The 21,515-nt window shown below is 36.8% G+C and overlaps 1 long non-coding RNA gene across 1 annotated transcript in view, besides 1 other annotated feature; it reads right to left on the bottom strand.

Moving 5' to 3' along the window:
• LOC124902110 (uncharacterized) overlaps positions 1 to 21,515 on the bottom strand; it is a 112,958-nt gene that overhangs the window by 51,491 nt on the left and 39,952 nt on the right. Inside the window, exon 3 of the long non-coding RNA XR_007061398.1 lies at positions 19,063 to 19,158. This is a non-coding gene — a long non-coding RNA (uncharacterized LOC124902110). The remainder of the gene's footprint in view (positions 1 to 19,062; positions 19,159 to 21,515) is intronic.
• Positions 9,963 to 10,163: a silencer, noted in NCBI's record as "fragment chr9:3577789-3577989 (GRCh37/hg19 assembly coordinates)". NCBI's record gives its function as "represses an EF-1alpha promoter that drives an FKBP-Casp9 reporter gene in an ReSE screen in phorbol 12-myristate 13-acetate-treated (for megakaryocytic differentiation) K562 erythroleukemia cells {active_cell/tissue: K562(+PMA)}" and the evidence as "EXISTENCE:reporter gene assay evidence [ECO:0000049][PMID:32094911]".

Below are 21,515 nucleotides of genomic sequence, written 5' to 3'. Positions count from 1 at the left end.
ATCATTGTTGGACATTTGGGTTGGTTCCAAGTCTTTGCTATTGTGAATAGTGCCACAATAAACATACGTGTGCATATGTCTTTATAGCAGCATGATTTATAATCCTTTGGGTATATGCCCAGTAATGAGATGGCTGGGTCAAATGGTATTTCTAGTTCTAGATCCCTGAGGAACTGCCACACTGATATTGGGTAGATTTCTAAAAATCTAAGTGATCGTTTTTTGCATTTATCCTAATAAGCTGCATCTTGTTTTAATTCCACACATGCTAAGATCTTTTGGGAATCCTATTCTGTCATCAATATTAGTGTATTAGTCCTTTCTCACATTGCTAAAAAAAAAAAAAAAGAAAGTACTTGAGTGTGTTAGTCCATTCTCACACTGCTATCAAGAACTACCTGAGAATGTGTAATTTATGAAGAAAAGAGGTTTAATTGACTCTCTGTTCTGCAGGCTTAACAGGAATCATGACTGGGAGGCCCCAGAGAACTTACAATCATAGCAAAAGATGAAGGAGAAGCAAGCATGTCTTACCATGGTAGAACAGGAGAGAAAGCGAGATAAGGGGAAAGTGCCACACAATTTTAAGTCATCAGATCTCATTGGAATCACTATCATAAGAACAGAAAGGGAGATATCCACCCCCATGATCCAATTACCTTCCACCAGCTCCCTCCCCTGGCATGTGGAGATTACAATTAGATATGAGATTTGGGTGGGGACACAGAGGCAAACCATATCACTGCAACTGAGTAATTTATAAAGAAAAGAGGTTTAATTGGCTCACAGTTTTGCAGGCTGTACAGGAAGTATAGCTACTTCTAGGGAGACCTGAAGAAACTTTCAATCATGGCAGAAGGCAAAGGGGAAGCAGGCACACCTTTTATGGCCACAGCAGGAGGAAGAGAGAGCAGGGAGGTGCCATACACTTTTAAACAACCAAATCTCATGAGAACTCTATCATGAGAACAGCACCAAAGGGATGGTGCTAAGCCATTCATGAAGGACTCACTCCCATGAGCCCATCACCACCCAGTAGACCCCACCTCCAACACTGAGGATTACAACTGAACATGAAATTTGGGTGGGGACACACATCCAAACCATATCATTTAGCCAACCAGATTTTAGGTCACTCACAAATTTGATAATATGCCATTGATGTATTTAGACGAATTGTGAAAATGTTAACAAACAATAGGAATGTGGTTCTGATATAAGATCAGTAGAGACTTTTTTAGGAATAGAAAATGACATATTAATCAGTACTCTGAAAATGGTCATTCCATTGTTTATGGACCATCCTAAGTGTACCATTATCTAGTTTAGCTTTTTCTATCTTACTGCCATAGTCATCATTCAGGTGTACAGTTTCAATAGCATTCTTTGGTTGTATCCATTATGTACTCTTTAGTGGCATCATAGCATAAAGATTAAGACCGTGGGTTCTGAAATGTGGCTACCTATGCTTAAAACATAGTCTCCAATTTTTAGTTGTGTTGTCTTCAGCTAGTTACTAAATAGTTCCTCATGTATAAAATGGGGAGAAATAATACTTCAGATTAAATGAGAAAATGCATGTAAAGCACTTAACCTACAGCCTAACATCAAATAAATGCTTAAACATTAGCTCTTCTTAACAGTAGCAGTTAACCCACCCCAAAGAAAATGAGGTTAGTCTGGTACAGCTTAATCTTAAGGAGCACATGCTGGGTCCTGGTGAATAAATACCACTTCCCTTTGTAAGAATTTACATGCTGTCTTTTTATACTGTTTGAAAAACCATCCATTTTAATAATCCAGTGTATAATTTTGCACAGGGATTAATGTCAGGCTCACTGATCTATACTTACAGAATTTACCTTTTTCCTTTATTAAAAATTTGCACTGCAGTTGTTTCTCTCCAGTCTGGCAACACCTCTCCCTCTCACCACCATTCTTCACTGGTAACAGTTTACTGGTGCAAAAGTCTCATTCCCTGGTTCACTCCAGCCCTGGAGTGCAGTTTATTTCAGCCAGGGCACTTGATGTTCTCTATCTTCCCATATCTTTGACATCAGTTCCCCCTTTAAACATGTTTGATCTAGGCTCTTGAGTCAGTCTGAAGACCATTGTCTTTGACGCAGAAGACAGACCGAAGAGGAACGAAGTAGTCCTGCTTTGTTTTTAGCGTCTGTTATCCCCATCTGTCTCAAGCACAGGGCCTACCACTTCCTGTTCGTTCTTCTTGCTCATGAGTACCACTTTTTTAAATCCCCCTCTTTTTGCCGTATTATATTACACAAACTTTAACTCCATGACAGTTTATGCCTTAAATGATTCCTAAAGACCCATGCAGGTATTTTAAATTCACCATTGGCTATCTATTCCTCATTCTGCTATTTGTTTGTCTTTTTGAAATGTGAGCTCAGACATTTTCAGTCTAAAATGACATTTGAAGTTGCTTCTCCAAATTTCTTCCTAAAATATCTTTTAAGACCCAAATTAAAAACAAAAACATATGCACAATATGTGACCCTGGAGAAGGTTAAGGTATGACTGTTTTAAAATAACTTGCCAGCCATGTCTCAGTTTTAAATGAATTGAGAAGGTCAGTTGTTCAGTAAATGTGAGGTGAGTAGGTGATGTGGACTAAGGTTATAGCTGTGGAGATGGTAGTAACTGGGCAAATTCAGGACATAATGAAATTTGAACCAACAGCACTTACTGGTGGATTGGATATAGGTTTTGAGGGAAAGAAGTTTCAAGGATCCCCAAACCTGTAATTTATTTTGTGCAAATAGATAGATGATCTCTCTTTAGTGCGAGGCAGAAGACTGCTCTTCACTAAAAATTTGCACTGTAGTTGCTTCCAAAGAGCAGCAAATTGAGAAAGGGTATGAATACATCACTTTGGCCATATTCTTTTTTTTTTGTTTCTGTTTTTCTTTTTGTTTTTGAGACTGGGTCTCACTCTGACACACAGGCTGGAATACAGTGGCACTATCATGGCAGCCTCAACTTCCCAGGCTCAAGTGATCTTCCCACCTCAGCCTCCTAAGTAGCTGGGATCACAGGTGTGTGCCACCACGCCGGGTTAATTTTTAGTTTTTTGTAGAGATTAGATCTCCCTGTGTTGGTCTCAAACTCCTGACCTAAAGTGATCCTCCCACCTTGGTCTTCCAAAGTGCTGGAATTATAGGCGTGAACCACTGTGTCCAGCCACCATGTTTGTTTTAAGTTTCAGTTTTCTATTATACACCTGTATTGAAATATCAAGAAGCATGTAAGAGCTTGGTGCTCAAAAAAGGCTAGGCTGGAGATATAAATGTGGGCTATCTTCTAACAATGCTATTTAAGTCCCTGGATTAGTTGAAATTACCCACATAAGATCATAGAGGTGAGAAGAGAGCAAGGGTCAGGGCCTTGGGTCACCAAAACACTTAGAGGTCTAAGAGAGGAGGTGAAGAAGTTTGAGGTGAAGCAGCCAGAGATAAGACAAAAGCCAGAAAACATGATATCCTCGAAACCAAGTGAAGGATATGTGTCAAGAAGGAAGCAATAATGCACGATGCCAAATATTAAGAGTTCAAGTAAGATGATCATTAGCATTAGCAAAATGAGGTCACTGGTGAGATAGGGTCCATTTTATGGTTAGGAGAAACGACCGATTAGAATGATTTTGAGGATAAAATGAGAGGTGAAAAAGTAGAGACAATGAGGATACAAAATGTCCCATTTTTCTGTGAAGGCAAGCAGATAAACGAGCAGTAGCTGGAACATGAAGTCAAAAGAAGGTTTTTGTTCGTTTTTTTTGTTTATGTTGTTTGTTTTGATGGGTAATCTCAAAGCATGCTTGAGTTTGTGTAGGAAGGATCCAGCAGAGAGAGAGAGAGAGAAAAAATAATGTAATAAAGAAATAAAAGACAGAAGCAAAAAGTTCTTAATAAGTGGCGATGTTGGGCTAAGATAGAAGGGAGTAGCCACCTTTCTATTATAATTAGAAGGGAGGCCAACATGTGTGTGCAGATACAAGTGGGCTGATGGAATATCTGGTTGGACAATGAGGTAGTTCTTATTGGAGTGGAACTATTTTTTGTATAAAACACGAGAGAAGTCATTAACTTAGAGCAAGGGGGAATGGGATGTTGAAGATTTGAAATCATCCAGTTAGAAAATGGAAAAGTAAATTTACTAGAGAATTGGGGTAGGTTTGTTTGGCCGTGTTAATTGACCATTTGAGGTGTATGATCATGGACTTTGAAATGACTCTGGACAGTACTGTTGTGATATTCTCCAGTAATATCAAGGTGTTGTAAACAAATATGGAGTAATTAATTTGTTTAAAGAGGTTAGAGGTTTTTTCTGGCTATATACAAAATAAGAGATATGGGAAAGTAATCAATGAGAATTGTAAGAAAATATAGTGCTGGGCAACAGAACCTAAGCCTAGTAACAACAGAAGTAAAGTAACTAAGGGGAGTCAATGTTTTTTGTTTGTTGGTTTTACCTTCTATTTGCTTGGAGTTTATTTTGCTCATAGTTTTAGAATTTCCTGAGGTGGGAACTTCTATAATTGGTTCGGGAACTTGTCTTTTTTCTACTGTATCCATCTAGTACTATAAATTACCCTCTTGGCACTGCTTTGGCAGCACTCCACATATTTTAATACGGTATGGTTTACTTTTCATTCAGCTTTATGTATTTTATAATTTATTTCAGGACTTACTCTTTGATACATTATTTAGAAGTGTGTTGTTTGATTTTCAAGTGTTTGGAAATGTTCCTCTTGTCTTTCTGTTATTTATTTTTAGTTTGATTCCACTATGGTCAGAGAACACGCTTTATATGATTTCAAATGATTTTAAATTATTGAAGTTTGTTTTATGGCCCAGGAAATGGTCTATTTTGGTAAACGTTCCATGGGCACTTGAAAAAGATGTCCATCCTGCCCTTGCTGGGTAGAGTCTTCTATAGATGTCAATTTTTTGTTAGTTTATTACATTGTTCAAGTCTTCTATTTCCTTGCTGATTTTCTATTAGTTTTATGCTTGCCAAGATGGGTGTTAGAGACCTAACTGTAACTGTGAATTTGTCTTTCTCTTTCAGCTCTTTTGATTTCTATTTCATGTATTTTTGAGATTCTGCTGTTTGGTATATGCACATTAGGATGGTTATGACTTCCTGGAGAATTGATTATTTTATCATTATGTAATGTGTCTCTTTGCCTGTAATAATATTCTTTGCTATAATGTCTGCTTTATCTGATATTAATATAGATACTCCTGCTTTTTAAAAATTAATATCTGCATGGTATATTTTTTCAACCTTTTATTTTCAACCTACGTTGTTGAATTTTGAGTGAGTTTATTATAAACAGAAAATAACTGGGTTATATTTTTTATTTATTTTTAATTGGCATATTTAGACCATCTGCATTTAAGGCAATTTGCCATTTTATTATTTGTTTTCTATTTGTTTCTTGTGGTTCTTATTCCTCTGGTTTTCTTTTATGACTTCCTACAGATTACTTAAACATTTTTTGGTACTCTATCTTGATTTATTTATAGTGCTTTTAAGTGTTATCTCTTTGTATAGTTCTCATAGCAATTGATCTGGGTATTAAAAATATATATGTGACTTATTACAGTCTACTGGTGTCAACATTTCATTATTACTTTGAGTCAAGTGTAGAAACCTTTCTTCTGTTTAGTTCCCTTTACCCTCCCCACTTCAGAACAGCATTGTCTTGGGTATATGATGGTGTTATTTGTTTCAATCACTGAATATGATTTACAAAATTCATGAGGATAGTCTAGTGTATGTACCCACATTTGTTTTTTTTTTGTTGTTGTTGTTGTTGTTTTTTTTTTTTTTTTTTTTGAGATGGTGACTCACTTTGTTACCTGGGTTGGAGTGCGGTGGTGTGAACATAGCTCACTGATGCTTCAAACTTCTGGGCTCAAGTGATGCTCTTGCCTCAGCCTCTCAAGTAGCTGGGATTACAGGTGTGAGCTTGTACTCATATTTCTGTTCATTACAATGCTTTTTCTTTTTCTTTATGCTCAAAATTGATTATTTTATCATTTCCTTTCTGTTTGAAGAAAATCTTTAGCTATTCTTGAAGAGCAGGTGTGCTAGCCACAAATTCTTTCCATTTTCTTTTATCTGAGAATGTTTTTATTTTCACTTCATTCCTGAAGGATAGTTTTGCTGAATATAAAATTTAATATTGACAACTATTTTGTTTCAGCACTTGAAAAATGTGTCAAGCCTTCTGGCCAGCATGGTTGCAGATAAGAAGTAAACTGTCGTTCAGATTGGTACTCCCCAGTTGGTAACATACTGTTGTTCTCTGGTTTCTTTTGAGATTTTTTGGTGTGTTTCTCAGAAATTTAATATACCTTGGCATGGATTTCTTTCAGTTTGTCCTATTTTTGGTTTCTCAGTGTATTAGTCTGTCCTTGCATTGCTATAAAGGAACACTTGAGACTGGGTAATTTATAAAGAAGAGAGGTTTAATTGGCTCAAGGTTCTGCAGGCTTTAAAGGAAGCATGGTGCTGGCATTGGCTTGGCTTCTGGTGAAACCTCAGGGAGCTTTCAATCATGGCAGAAGGCAAAAGGGGAATAAGCACTTCACATGATGAGAGCAGGAACAAGCAAGAGAGATGGGGAGGGTGCTACATGCTTTTTCTGAGCTTTCCAAACTCTTCCAACCTCTGTTTGTTGCCCAGTTCCAAAGCTTCTTCCACATTTTCAGAAATCATTATAGCGATGACCCAGTCCTGGTACCAATTTTCTGTATGAGGCCACTCTTGCATTACTATAATGGAATATCTAAGACTGAGTAATTTGTAAAGAAAAGAGATTTAATTGGCTCAAGGTTCTGCAGGCTTTACAGGAAACATAGTGCTGGCATCTGCTCAGCTTCTGGCCAAACCTCATGGAGCTTTCAACGAATGCAGAAAGCAAGGGGGCAACAGGCACGTCACATGATGAAAGGAGGCGCAAGTGAGAGAGACTGTGGGGAGAGGTGCCACACACTTTTTAACAACCAGATCTTGCGAGAACTCACTCACTATTGTGAAGACAGCATCAAGTCATGAGGGATCCACCCCCATGATCCAAACACCACCCACCAGGCCCCACCTCCAGCACTGGGGATTACAATTCAACATGAGATTTGGGTGGGAACAAATATCCAAACTACATCACTCAGGCTCTTAAATATATAGGAGTTTTTTTTTTTTAATTTTTATTTTGTTTTTATTTATTTTTATCAAATTTGGGAGACAAATCACTATTTCTTTTCTTACTTTTGTTTTTTTCTCTGTCACCCAAGCTGGAGTACAATGGCACAGTCTCCAGTCACTGCAGCCTTGACCTTCGAGGATCAAGCAATCCTCCCGCCTCAGCCTCCCAAGTAGCTGGGACTGCAGGCATGCACCACCATGGCTGGCTAATTTTTATACTTTGTTTGTAGAGATGGGGTTTCACCATGTTGCCCAGGCTGGTCTCAAACTCCTGGGTAAAAGTGATCCACCTTCCTTGGCCTCCCAAAGTGCTGGGATTACAGGTGTGAGCCACCATGCCCAGCCAAACCACTCTTTCTTAAAATACTCTTTTAGTCCACTCTTTTTTCTGTTAACCCAATAATATAATAAATGCCCCTAATAACCCAATATTGGGTTTTATATTATTCTTCCAAATTTCCCTGAGCTTATGTTTAGTTTTTATTTTGGGGGGGGGTCTATTTTCTCTGTGTTATTCATATTGGGTAGATAATATTAATCTGTCCTTAAGTTTATTGATTGTATCTCTGTCACCTCCATCTCTCCATCCTACTATTGAGACTTTCAGCAAGTTTTTACTTCTATATTTTCTATGTCATTCTCTTTTTATATCTTCTGTTTCTTTTCTGTGACTTTACATTGTTTCGTTTGTTTCAACAGAATTTGTTATTGCTTTTTGAAACATTGTTAGGATGGCAGCTTAAAATCTTTGTGGGTTAATTCCAATGTCTGATTCATCTTGAATGGTGTTAGTATATTGTCTTTTTTCATTCTAGCTGTGATTTTCCTGGTTATTAGTGTTGGATGATTTTTTTTTTTGAATTGTAGCCTAAAATTTTGGCTATTATTTTGGGAGACTCTGGATTCTATGTAAACACTTTATTTTAGCAGCCAGTCACCTAGTTTAGGTTTAGCGCGCAGATCCTTGCCTACTTTTGTAGGTTGTGGTTCCAATTACAATTTAATTTTCAAGGCTCTCATTGTACTATTTTCATCTGCTTGATTTATCTCATGCCAGTGATGGTGCTACATGAAGGGGCAGAAAAAGTTTCCCTGCATCAGACTGTCTGGTGCCTCTACATAGAAGAAAGAAGTATCTGGCCCACAGAGGAGAAGCTTCCTGGGTCAGGCAGCATGCTGTGGCAGGATTCTCTTTCCTGGCGCCAACCAGAAAACTTGGTTTTCTAAGTAAATGGCATAAACCTCAAATAAAGTGTTTTACACAAGAGTCTGACTTGAGTTACTCAAGCCAGAAACCTAGGAATGATGTACGATTCTTCCCTCTGTCAACCAGAAGTGAATTTACCAAGAATTAATGAAGCTTTGGTTTCAATGCCCATCACTTGCAGGACCCTGGAACCTGAATGAATTCACATAGTCACATGTTTTTGTAAAATCTGCAAAAGTAGCATATTTTAAGTGTAATTAGTTAAGACTATGCCTCTTTTTTTCTATGATTTACCCTCCATTACATTCTCCTCTGGTCATTGCCCCAGGCACTTTCAAGATCTAGCTAAGAGGCAGTTGTGCCAGGGATAATGTTAGTTCAGATTTAGTGGGATAAACTTATGTTGTCCACAGACACTCCTGTATGAAATTATTGCCACTGTTTCTTCTATAGAGTAGCTTCTGGGAAAGTTCCTAGCCACCCACTATGCTGACTCATCTAGATTTGTGACACAGAGTTTCAGGGCCTTTGGTTGTCTTGCAATATGAGCATGAGCAATCTTACTCAGTATGATACAGAGAGGAAAAATAAAACTTGAAATTTAAGGAGCCAGAAGTTAGTCTGTGGAAAAGTCTTCCCATCATCAGACGTGTAATACGTAGCATTTATTTAGATAAATAGCAGAGCATTTATTTAGCTCAATATTGGAGCATTAGAAACATAATGGTACCAAGGCAAAATAAAAGTTCTCTTGCCAAAAATATACTCAATCATGTAACATATATATCATTATAAATAATCCATGCTTTCTTAGATTAAAATTGTATGGAATAGAATTGATCAAAATTTTGAGATGGAGACCACAAGCTTAAAGCTATACTACAAATAGTATATCTATTTGCGATGTCACGTGTTTTGTTTCCCAATTCTCAATAATAAAAAAATAAATTTTGATTGACCATGCTAAACCAAAGACTGAATTATCTTTCTATTCTTTATTTAGAAGATAATCTTATAAAATCATTGTCATATAAAAGGCGATATCAAGAGTTTACTGCCAAAATATTTAAAGCAGTTGATTGATTAAAAATAGTATGTCATTTTTTAAAATGTGGTAATGTTTATAGTATTTGGCAGCTCTTTAAAATTTGTCATTTGTTGTGGTTTGTTTCCTCATTCTAAAGAAATACTTTTGTATCTAATTTGAAGTGTGTAATTTTGTATTTTTTCCTTAAAAATTATCTCACAAAACCTGGATCCAATCCTACTTTCTTCCCACTTTTAAAGCCACATCCAATCTATCTGCAAATCCTGTTAATTGTCACCTTAAAATATATATCAAGTCTTTCTACCTCTCTTTATTTCTATTGCCACTGTTATAGTAACTAATCTTACCTCTTACCTGAACAAGACAGCAAAACAAAAATGTCTTAACTTAGTATAACCAAAACTACTGCTTTTTATATGTGTTTTCAATACTTTACTGTCTCACTTTAAAAGATTAAAGACTTCTTTAGGCCTGGCGTGGTGGCTTACGCCTGTAATCCCAGCACTTTGGGAGGCCGAGGCGGGTGGATCACGAGGTCAGGAGACGGAGACCATCCTGGCTAACACGGTGAAACCCCATCTCTACTAAAAAATACAAAAAATTAGCCGGGCGTGGTGGTGGGCCCCTGTAGTCCCAGCTACTCGGGAGGCTGAGGCAGGAGAATGGCGTGAACCCAGGAGCTGGAGCTTGCAGTGAGCTGAGATTGCGCCACTGCACACCAGCCTGGGTGACAGAGCAAGACTCTGCCTCAAAAAAAGAAAAAAAAAAGACTTTTTAAAATCCTCTTATTTTTTTCTGATATGTTTGTCTTATAACTTTTTACATTATATTTTGGGCCAACATAGTATCCTTCTGTTTCTTCAGATAAATAACCAGTTATGCTAACATCTTGTAAGAGAAAAAAAATTTTTTTTCTGCTAAATTAAAGTGGCAGCTTTATTACTTACTAAATGCATTTTAGCTTTTATTGTATACAAACTGTCTATTTTCGTGCTAGTACAAAGTGTTTTGATCACAGTAGATTCCTGGTGATTTTAATATCTGACAAGGTAAGTCCACCGTTAATTTTTTTTAAATGGAATGTTACTGCACATTCTTTTTCCATATGAATTTAAAATTATTTACCAGTTGGAAAAAAAAAAACATGTTGGGATTCTGATTGGAACTGCAATAAATTTATGTATTAATATGGGAAAAATTATCCTTCCACTTTTCTAGTCTTATTTTACACCTTTCAATAAAATGTCATTTTCATCATTTAGATCCAACTTCTGTATTCTTAGATTTATTTTAAGTGATTTATCTTTTTTATTCTAATTATAAATGGGATATTTCCCCATTTCAATTTCTAATTGCATAATATTAATAGAGAGGGAAGCTATTAATTTTGTATTTGGGCAGCCACATTTCCCAATTATCTTATTAATTTGAATGGATTTTTAGCAGAACATCTTGAATTTCTTAAGTACATAATCATACCAACTACAAATAAAGATAGTACTGTATTTTCATTTCTCATATTTAAACTGCTCCTTTAATTTTCTAGCTTTATCAGTCTCCAAAATGTGTTGAAAAATAGCGATAATAGCAGAAATCCGTCTCTTGTTACTGATAAAATTTAAAGCAGCTGCTGAATATAATATAGTTGTTGGGTTTAGGTAGAGGACTTTTTAAAATCTTGTTGGCATTGCTATGAACTGAATTTTGTCCTCCCAAACTGCATTATGTTGAAGCTCTAATGCCTACGCGATCGAAGAAAGATTTTTTAAGGAAATGATTAAGGTTAAATGAGGTCATAAGGATGGAACCTTGTCTGATAGAGCTGGTATCCTTATAAGAAGAGGAAGAGATACCAGAAGAGGAACTGTTGTAAGAAGAGGAGAAAATACCAGCTTTCTCTGTCTCCTCTATGTGAGGACATAGTAAGAAGGTGGCCATCTGCCAGCCAGAAAGAGCGCCCTCACCAGAATGTGACCATGCTAGCCTCCTGATCTCAGACGTCCAACTTCCAGGATTACGAGAAAATAAACGTCTGTGGTTTAAGCCACCAAATCTATGGTATTTTTTATGGCAGCTTGAGCTGACTGATACAGGCAGTTTCCCTTTCCAGGCTGCCCCAGCTGAGAATTTACTGGTAAATGCAATAATATAAAAGCATAAATTATGACACAGTTATGACATTGTTTTCTAGCCTAGCAGTTCTTAACTGAGGTGATTTTGTTCCTCAGGGACAGTTAGCAATGTCTAGAGAAATTTTTGGTTGTCACAACTGAATGGCAGTGGTCGGGGGAGCCTATTGAGAGCGGTGAAGGTGTGTGCATCTAGTGGATAAAGGCCAGGGATGCTACTAAATATCCTACAATGGATAAACACTCCTCACAACAAAGTATCAGGCCCAAAATGTCAATAGTGCCCAGATTGAGAAACTCTGGCTAGTCAAGCCCCTGAAAACCCCCTTCTGCTAGAGGAAGGAAAAGGGAAGAGGCTGTTCCTAAACTACCTGGGAAATGCCCCCAGTCCCTGGGCTAAGGAGCTGTGCATGGCCAAGCCAGGAAGAGTAAAGCACTGGCTCTCAGAGCATCAGCTTTGGGTGAGTATAGCCAGCTCTGTCGGGTCTTGAAGTAAAAGTCAAGAGTAGATTTTAGCATTGGACTGCATTCAAATTGTACACGTCAGGTACAACACAGCCTGGACAGTTAGAGAACCCAATTTTTTGTAGCAGCGGGTCAACTTGTTCACATTACCTCCTTGTATGGCTTTCAAGATCCACCAGGGAGTTTTCTTGTATTCCTAATTTACTTAGGTTTTTTTTTTTTTTTTTTTTGAATGGCTAGTGAATTTTATCAAATACATCTATGGCAATCATTAAAATAATTATATTTTTTCCCTATAATGTTTGGTACTTTGGATTATCTTGATAGATACCTTCCTTTCAAAAAGTACAAAGATTGTTTTTGTTATCTTTGAGAGTTTTTAAAATTAAGGCTATTCTAACTTTATTCAGGTTTTCACGTTTCTCTACAGACTAGAATTGGTACATTGAAAATAATTATATATTCACTAATGGTTATAAAGAATTCATCTCTAACACCATCTGTGCCTGGTGCTTTTTGAAAAACGATCAATCTTTAAACTTTGTGATTTGTTCTACAATTATCTTCTTGAATCCATTTTGGTCATTTCTGTTTTTTAATAGCTTTTTGATTGGTCGTGCCTCTTCTGATTTATAATCTAGTGGTAGTCAGAGAAATCTTTTTAAAACTCAAGTTAAATCATGCCACTGCTCTGCTTAAAACTGAATAAATGAAATTTGACCTGTTTACTATTTTTACAAAGCCCCTAATGTTGTGTCTTGCCCATTACACACTTGCTTGTACCACCCCTTCCTTTACCATTTCATTGTAGACACACTGATATACTGCCCATTCCTCAAATATAGGACCCTCTTTCCCCAGGGTCCTTTCTATTTGCTTTCCCTTTTGCCTGGAAAATTCTCCACCACCACCCCACACCACATTTCTCATTGGTTGCTCATTTTCTTGCTTCAGAACTCAGTTTTTAAATTTGCTACCTCAGAGGCATTCTCTGCCCATCCTATCTAAACAGGTTTCTCCCCACCCCAACACCCATCCTGTTACCTAAACTAGGCAAAGATGTTCTCTCTTCTGGCAGTCACAAAGGTGGAGTGTAGTTGTTAGCAACCACTGAAGTATGGCTTTTCCTCAAGGGAAAAGTCAGAAAGATACTGGATTTTTCACTAAGAAAATTATCCACCCCCTTCACCTTACTTTGGTAAAAGCACCTAGTTTTAGAGCCCAGTGGTCATAACAGAACTCTAAATTAATTTTCTAAACATAATTTATGTCACTAAGAACTTCTCAATTCCTTTTGATTCTCTAAAGACATTTATATGCAACTGCATACAAATGCCAGGAATATTTTAGAATTGTAGCCATATAGAAATTAGCATGGATACAAGAACACTAATGTTAACAAAAGGAGGGGGGGAGAAATTATATTTTTCATCAAGGTATCAACTATTTTTTTTAATTTAGCCTCTCCAAATGGCTTGCTGAGAAATACTATTTGGCAAGGTATTTTTCAATCTGGCTTATGTTGCCTTTGTAATTTTACTACGCCCAGCATTTTAACATTTTTGAACATATTCCCAAAGATCTTTAATGATAGATGCATCTTTTAAAAACTCAGTCAATAAAGTACACATGTAGCAACAATGGACCACTAAAGGAATGCTGCAGATTGGATTAAGAAAATTCACAGAATGAACAATAAAGAAATAAACCTAGGCATCATTACTAAGTGGGTAACGACAATCCCTTTGAAAAGATTTTACCAATTTTAATATGAAAGCATTTTTAAATGCAGCAAAAGTGTATGTCTCTCTTCCCGCTACTTAATATTTTCAAAAACAGAACCCGTCCTGAGTGTCAGTTATAAAAGACAATGTCAAGACCGAATAAGTAAGTGAATACAAGGTAGGCCAGTTCAGGAGTGATGTTTACGGACGTGCATTATTATTATGGATAACATTTGTTAGCATCTACCAACTAAATATTAATGATTTAAGGTTTCTGGTTGTGAGTGGTCAAGACTTTGACTCTAGATTCCTTTTACTGTCACCTCAGATCTGGTAATACTTTTTTGCTTTTAAAATAATGAAATTAGCTTCTCAGTGAACTTCAAAAGAGGAAGAGCTATTCTGCAGCAGATGCTCTCCTGCTAACTCAGAATCATTCATGGGAATTGTCAATTTGTTCTTCCAAAAATATCAAGTCAGATGAGAAGAAAGCAAATGTTTTTGCTATCAAGATATAGACATTTGGTCAGAGGAATAAAATAGGCTCAAATGCCAAAAAATAATAAAGAAAATGTGGAATGAGTAACTTCCAAAGTTATGGAAATAATTTGACTGTGTCTTACTACATGATAAAAATTGACAGGATTCCTAAGTACCCACAGATGGAGGTACTATACTAACAACTCGTTAGATCAGAGTCATGATTAGAGTCCTTATTATAATCATGGTGTAGCCAGAAATTTTGTCTGTTTCAAAACAATTATATATGTATGTAAAATGTGTATACATGTGCAGTTAATTTTCTGATGATGATGATTAGTTTGCTTTAAGCCAATGCAGAGTCTCTTATAGCAAATATTACATATCTAAAGAAGGGCTGAATAGGGCTTTAGGTGTAATCCATGAATAAAACTGCTTCTAATTTGTTCATAGTCAACGAGCCTACAGGTAAAGGGATAAAACCCATATTTTAAGTTCAATTAACATAATATATCAAATAGACATTCACAATTTTATTCTACCACAAATATCAATCCTCATTTTCTTTGGCTAAAAATGTGAATTAGTAAAATTTCAGAATGTAGGAATAAAAACCACACAAAATACGACTTAATTTTTCTTTAGATGCAACTTAATCAGCTGGAAAAGCATTATGATAAAATGGCTTAGATAGGATTGAAGAAGCTAGAAAGAAAAAATTAAAAAGTAATATTTCTGTAGTCTAATGCAGTGTGGTAAAATGGTGTGGACTTTTTGATCTGGTAGACTGGGGTTTGAATCATGCTTCCTTACCTGTGTGACATTGAGTAAATTTCTTAATCAATCTAAGATTCAATTCTCTACTTTGTAAAAATAGAATAATGAAACCTCATAGGGATGTGGTGAGAGTTAAATGAAGTAATGAATACAGAATGCTAGTGCAGTGTGGGAACATAGCAGACATTCAGGAAATGACATGTATTATTGAGTGACTTCTGCATGCCAGGTTTTTATGTTATCTCATTTTAAACCTTAGAAATTTGGTTCCCTTACTTTGCTGTATATTGGAATCACCTAAAGAGACAAAAGTCATTCATGTCTAGTTCTTATGCCCAGACTCTGAATTGTGACCTGAACTTTGGGGTTCTTAAATAGCTCTCCAGGTGATTCTAATATGCAGCAAAGTTTAGGAACCACTGCCTTATAGCAATGCAGTGAGTTATGTATTAGCATACCCATTCCAGAGTTAAGAACACTGGAGATGGGTTTACTTAAGATCATAGGGTTAATGACAGAGATGGGGAGAATGGTCTTGATGTATCATTTGACAATAATAGTAGGTCACAACATTTTTTTTTTAAGTTACAAAATAGCATGAAGAATTCAATGCTAATTTTTATTTTCGAAGTTAATTATATGTATAAAAGACTTTAAATATGTTTACCAAATATATTTATCAAATAAATACACATACACACACATATATATATGTTTTGGGGGTAGAATTAATATTAAGTTTTGTTTTAGTTTCTGCACTGTGATGATGTTTCTAAATGTTCAGCAAAAAAATGTTACTTTTTTAATAACAGAAAAGAGCGTATGTGTTATTTCTTTTAAAAATCAGAAAGCTGGAAAATAAAAAGATTTATAAGTTCAAGAATGAACATCTTTAATTTAAGAGACCTGGAGAACATTCAGTTGACAATATCCAAAAGGCAGAAGGATGCATGATTCTGAAGCCTGGAATAGAAGTGTGGGCTGGATATGTAAGCTACTTTTTGGAAGCACCTGTTAGAGAGATTTAAAATTACTACAGGCCTTCCATCAACTGTAAGGTATCAAAGAGTTCTAAGACTTTCTTACTGATTTGGCATTAGGACTTGTATCCTTTTCTTTTTATTTCTTCTGCCAGCATCTTAGTGTAGTCCTGATTAGCTCATGACTAGAACATTTCCGGAGCCTTTTAATTAGTTTCCTTTGTTTCAGTCTATCTGTATTTCAATCTATTCTGTATACCTCTTCAGTAATACTTATAAAGCTCCACTAAACCTTCTGCTTAAAAAACAATGGCTTCTCATTATCCACTAAATCAAAGTTCAAATTTCTTAGGCAACCATTCAAGACTTTTCATGATCTGGCCCCTTCCTGTTGGTCTACCTTTTTCACCTGATCCTCCGGTCGAACATGATTATTTGCTCAAATACACCATTTATTTGTCTGCTTCAGTCCCTTTACACACATGCCTCTCCGTGTGCTTTAAATATCCCCCTGTATCTGCACATTTCAAATTCTGACCATTCTCTGAAGCTCAGCCCAAATGCTAGGTTCTTCATAAAAGCCTCCCTTATGATGCTCACTGGAAGTCATCACAGCTCCAGGCAAATTTTTCACTCACGTGTGGCACTCACATGACATTTATTCCCTACCTGGAATGTGGCTTACCATTTACAGGTCACTAAACTATAGAAACTCATTTAATTCTCACTAAAAAAAATTACCATATAGGTAGATAAATGCATTTTTTTAATTGAGAGAATGTGTGGTCTGAGATCATACAGTTAGTAAGTGGGATAGTCCAGATGTAACTCCATTCTTTTCAAGAAAGGAACAGAAATCCTAAGGAGGTGATCTTTTGTATTCTTTGAAATTGTGCTAAAATACACATAACATAAAATTTAACATCTTCACCATTTTAAGTGTACAGTACAGTGGCATTAATACACTCAAATTGTTGTGCAACCATCACCACCATCCATTTTCAGAACTTTTTTCATCTTGCAAAATTGAAAGTCTGTACCAATTAAACAATAATTCCCTATTTCCACCTTCTTCTAGCTACTGACAACCACCATTCTACCTTCTGTTTCTATGAATTTGACTACTCTAGTTATCTCATACAAGTGGAATCAAACAATATTTATCCTTTCATGACTGGCTTATTTCACTTAGCATAGTATCTTCAAGGTTTATCCATGTTGTAGCATGTGTCAGAATTCTAATATATATATATATTCTAATATAATAATATATTAATTCTAATATAGAATTATAATATAATATATATATACCACATTTTGTTTATCCATTCATCTGTCAATGGACCCTTGGGTTGCTCTCACATTTTAGCTACTGTAAATAATGCTGTTATAAACATGGGTGTACAGATATCTGCTCAAGTTCTTGCTTTTAATTCTTTTGCATATATAGCCAGAAGTGGAATTGCTGGATCATAGGGTAATTCTATTTTTAATTTTTTGAGGAACTGCCAAACTGTTTCCATAGTGGCTAGGCTGCACCATTTTACATTCCCACTAGCAGTGCACAAGGGTGGCAATTTCTCCATCCTTGCCAACACATCTTCTGTGTTTTTTGTTTGTTTGTTTGACAGTAGCCAACCTAAGGGGTGTAAAGTGGATCTTTTGCATTTTAAGGATTTAAAACAGGAGTTACAAACTCAAATATTCATAGAGGCCAAGGAGGTAACTGTAAACAAGTGAGACAAGCCCCTTTAAGATGATCTGTGGCACTGGACACTCAGTCTCAGGGTCTAGGAGGTAATAGGAATTGGCTGATACAATGGCCATTTGTAGAGCCCATGGAGTTATTACTCGGCTGTACCAGATTAGGGCTCTGGCAGATCTTCATGCAGATCTTTCATGCATTACATGACATCTTCTGATTTTTAAGGATTAAGTAATGGATTTGAATTTAGAGCCCACTGCAAGCCAATATTCTTTAGTCAACTAGATTTAGATGAAAGGATGTGAATATAGGACTGTGGGTATAAATAGAAGCCTTCCCACATTTGCAGTGAGAATCTCACTCTTGGGCAAGACAGCAGAAATTCTGTGGTGGAACAGGTGCTGAAACCTAGCACCTGGAATATGGCTGATATGGCAAATGAGAGCTGACGACTAAGAGCTCCAATCATTTGGGCTCCTGCTTAGCAGGATGTAGAGGAGAGGCATCATGCTGGGGGTTTCCCCTTTCTCAAACACTGACAACCATAACTTCATCCAGCTTCTATGCTTTAGACACTACTACTGGTTAAGGGTGCTAGGACCATTCTGCTGCAATTGTCCCTCTGCACAAGTCAGCACTGGGAGACATCACCAAGGCAAATTCTCTCTCAAGATACAGAGAAGCATATGGGACCACTAGAAATACATCAAGAAGAAGGGTGGGCTATGTGTGTTTATATGGGGCCCATAAGAATGTTCTCCAGTATTTGCTTTTGGGGATGAACTACATCCTGTTAGTTACATCCAGAACTGTGTTGAGCAGAGATAGGCAACCTTTTTCTGTAAAGGGCCAGATGGTAAATATCTCAGTCTCTGTGTTTCACTTATAGTCTATGTCACATATTCTTTGTTTTATTTTGTTTTTTATAACCCTTTAAAAATATAAAAACCTTTTTTAGCTCTTGAGCCATGTAAAAGCAGGTCATGGGCCAACTCATGGCCTGTAGTTTGCCAGCCCGATACAGAGAAAAATCCCAGTAACATTGTGTATACCTTGCCTTTCCAATAGATTGTTAAGAGCCATTCAGGAAATTAATGACTTTTTGCATCCACTGTGGTTTCTAGCATGTTGCCTTATGAATACATGGGAATGACAAATACTGATAAGTAAACGGATTCACAACTAAGAAGGGAGTTTTCAAATATTTTAAGCCAGGAGGTGATATCCTGGATCAGTTCTAGGATATAACCTTCTTACAGTTTTCTTTAAACAGAAACTCAGTGTCAGCAACTCCTCAGAGATAGAAGGACTCACCATTTGTGGCCTGACAGGATGAAGAGATATTAGAAAGGCAAATGGATACCTTTCTGGATGAGAGGCAAAAGGCAACAGGAGCTGTTTTCTTTTTTTCTGTGTAAAGAAGCCAGAGTAGTTTTGTAAAGAATAGGTGAGAAGAAATGGTAATAACACTTACATTTCATGGAAAGAACGAAGATTATAAACATTAAAACCCTGTAATAACACCACAGATTTGAGATTTAATTTATTTATTTGAGACAGGATCTCACTTTGTCGCCCAGGTGGGAGTGCAGTGGCATGATCTCAGCTCACTGCAACCTTTACCTCCTGGGTTTCAGTGATTTTCATGCCTCAGCCTCCTGAGTAGAGACTGTATTTTAATATCCCAAATTCAGGTGCAACCACTGGGCAATGTTGACTTAAATAAGAATAGAGTATATTGCCAGCGAACACAAAATATTGTCCTTACTTCCTTTGTGAAATGTCTACTTTAAAGAGGAATTTTATAATATTCTTAGGTTTCCAATATTAAACGTAGAGCTCCAGTAAGAATTTGAGGGCAGAATTTTATCTATGGGTTGGAAAAATTATGTTCATTTAATGAACTTTGTTTGTTTGGCCTTATGCTTGCAAGCGCTCACGCCACTCCCTGGGCACAATGTAACGGAGATAAGTTAACATTTCCAAGTCTCTAGGATACCAGTGTTTATACGGTGTCCTGATCAGGGTTTACTAAGTGTTAGTAGAGTAGACAGCTCTGAGTGTGATATGAGGGGCCTCAAGTGATCGTCTAATCTAAAAATATTTCATTATTAGCACTCAAGAATGGTAATGGGACTATAAAAGAAATTATTCCTATGGGTTAAAGCACACAAGCTACCAGAGTATCCTGTTAAATTGTAACACCTGGAATGAAATAATGACATGTGAATTAACCCATTATCGGCCATTAAGAACCCAAGAGGGATCCATTTTTCAGGTTACTAACCATCCATTGGTCAGCAGAGGAGAATGCCCTCAAAGCAAAAGATTTGACAGTAGAAGAGTTATGGTGACCCAGCACATACAGGGTATGTAGGCCTGGGTGGGGCTGAAATGGGAACTCTGAAAAGTGAAGGGAGGTGTGAGTGAGGGAGGATGAAAAAATATGCTGAAAGAAATAAAGGCATACAAAATACACATGTACTTCCTTCCTAAAGCTGACAAGACTCAACCCTGGTGTCATTAATTGAGTCTCCTCAGGTATAGAATTCAATAAAGAGACCAGCAACTACAGAAATAGAAGTAAGTAGTTTCTCAATAGATCCTTAAGAGTTATAAGTAGTATTATAAGCACTGCACTATTCTAGATGTTATTAAGAGATGAGACGGGAAAGTTAATATGACCTCAGTATGTACTATGCACTCACCCATTATTTAGTTATCTCATTCAATCCTTACAACTACCCTGTAAAAGAAGCAGTAATTCTTCTTATTGCATATGTGAAAATTTAGAGTCAAATAGCCCATGTGACTTATACAAAGTTACTTGGCATAAAGTTTAGAGCTTAATAATTCTTGTTATTAAGCGCTGTGCTGGAAGATTTACATGCATCTCTTATTTAATATCAAAGCAGTCCATTAAGTAGATATTAGTAGTATCTTTGTTTTATAGCTAAGAAATCAAATGCTCAGTCAGGTTAATTACTTTGTTTAAAATAAGTGAGGATGCTGCGATTCAAACACACACTGACCGTTCCCAACCCTTAATTGCAGGAGTACGTTGCTTTCCAGGTGAGAAGTCCCTGGCTTCTGTCCTTCAAGCAGTGCTTCCCATCTTACTATTCCACAGGACATTTTTATATAAAATATGTTGTATAATATAACCCATATTGTGGAGCAAAAATATAACAAATTCTCTTAGATTGGCAAAAAAAAAAAAAAGAAAAAAATTCCTCATCCTTTTCCTCTCTCCCCCCACTCCTCTTCCTTCTTCAATGATCTAAACTTCCTTTCCGGTATGGGTCCCCATTTCCAACTATAGGCAGATACAAAGGGCTGGAAGGGAGGTACCTAAGCATGCCGTTTAAAAGTATCTTAGACCATTTCAGGTGTGTATCCATTTAAGCTAAATTTCAAATTCCTGTCATCAGGTCTGTTTCCCTCCTCTTTTCCTATTTCCAGAGATAAAGTCTACATTGAAAAAGGAAGGAATTGTGTCCTTGTGAGGGCGAGACAGGGCTTCAGGAGCCCACGTGGATATTTTGCCTGCCTTGTCTTTCAAGATGTCTGATTGATTTCTGTGAGGACGTTTGTCTGATTTGACAACAAGGTCCCAGACTGGCATCTCCTTTTTTTTTTTTTTTGAGATGGAGTCTTGCTCTGTTGCCCAGGTTGGAGTGCAGTGGTGCGATCGTGGCTCACTGCAACCTCTGCCTCCCAGGTTCAAGCGATTCTCCTGCCTCAGCCTCCCGAGTAGCTGGGACTAC

Source organism: Homo sapiens, chromosome 9 (genome assembly GCF_000001405.40).
Source record: "Homo sapiens chromosome 9, GRCh38.p14 Primary Assembly".
Taxonomy (NCBI): domain Eukaryota; kingdom Metazoa; phylum Chordata; class Mammalia; order Primates; family Hominidae; genus Homo; species Homo sapiens.
Note: the sequence above shows the minus strand (reverse complement) of the source record. Positions and strands in the feature narration are given on the sequence as shown.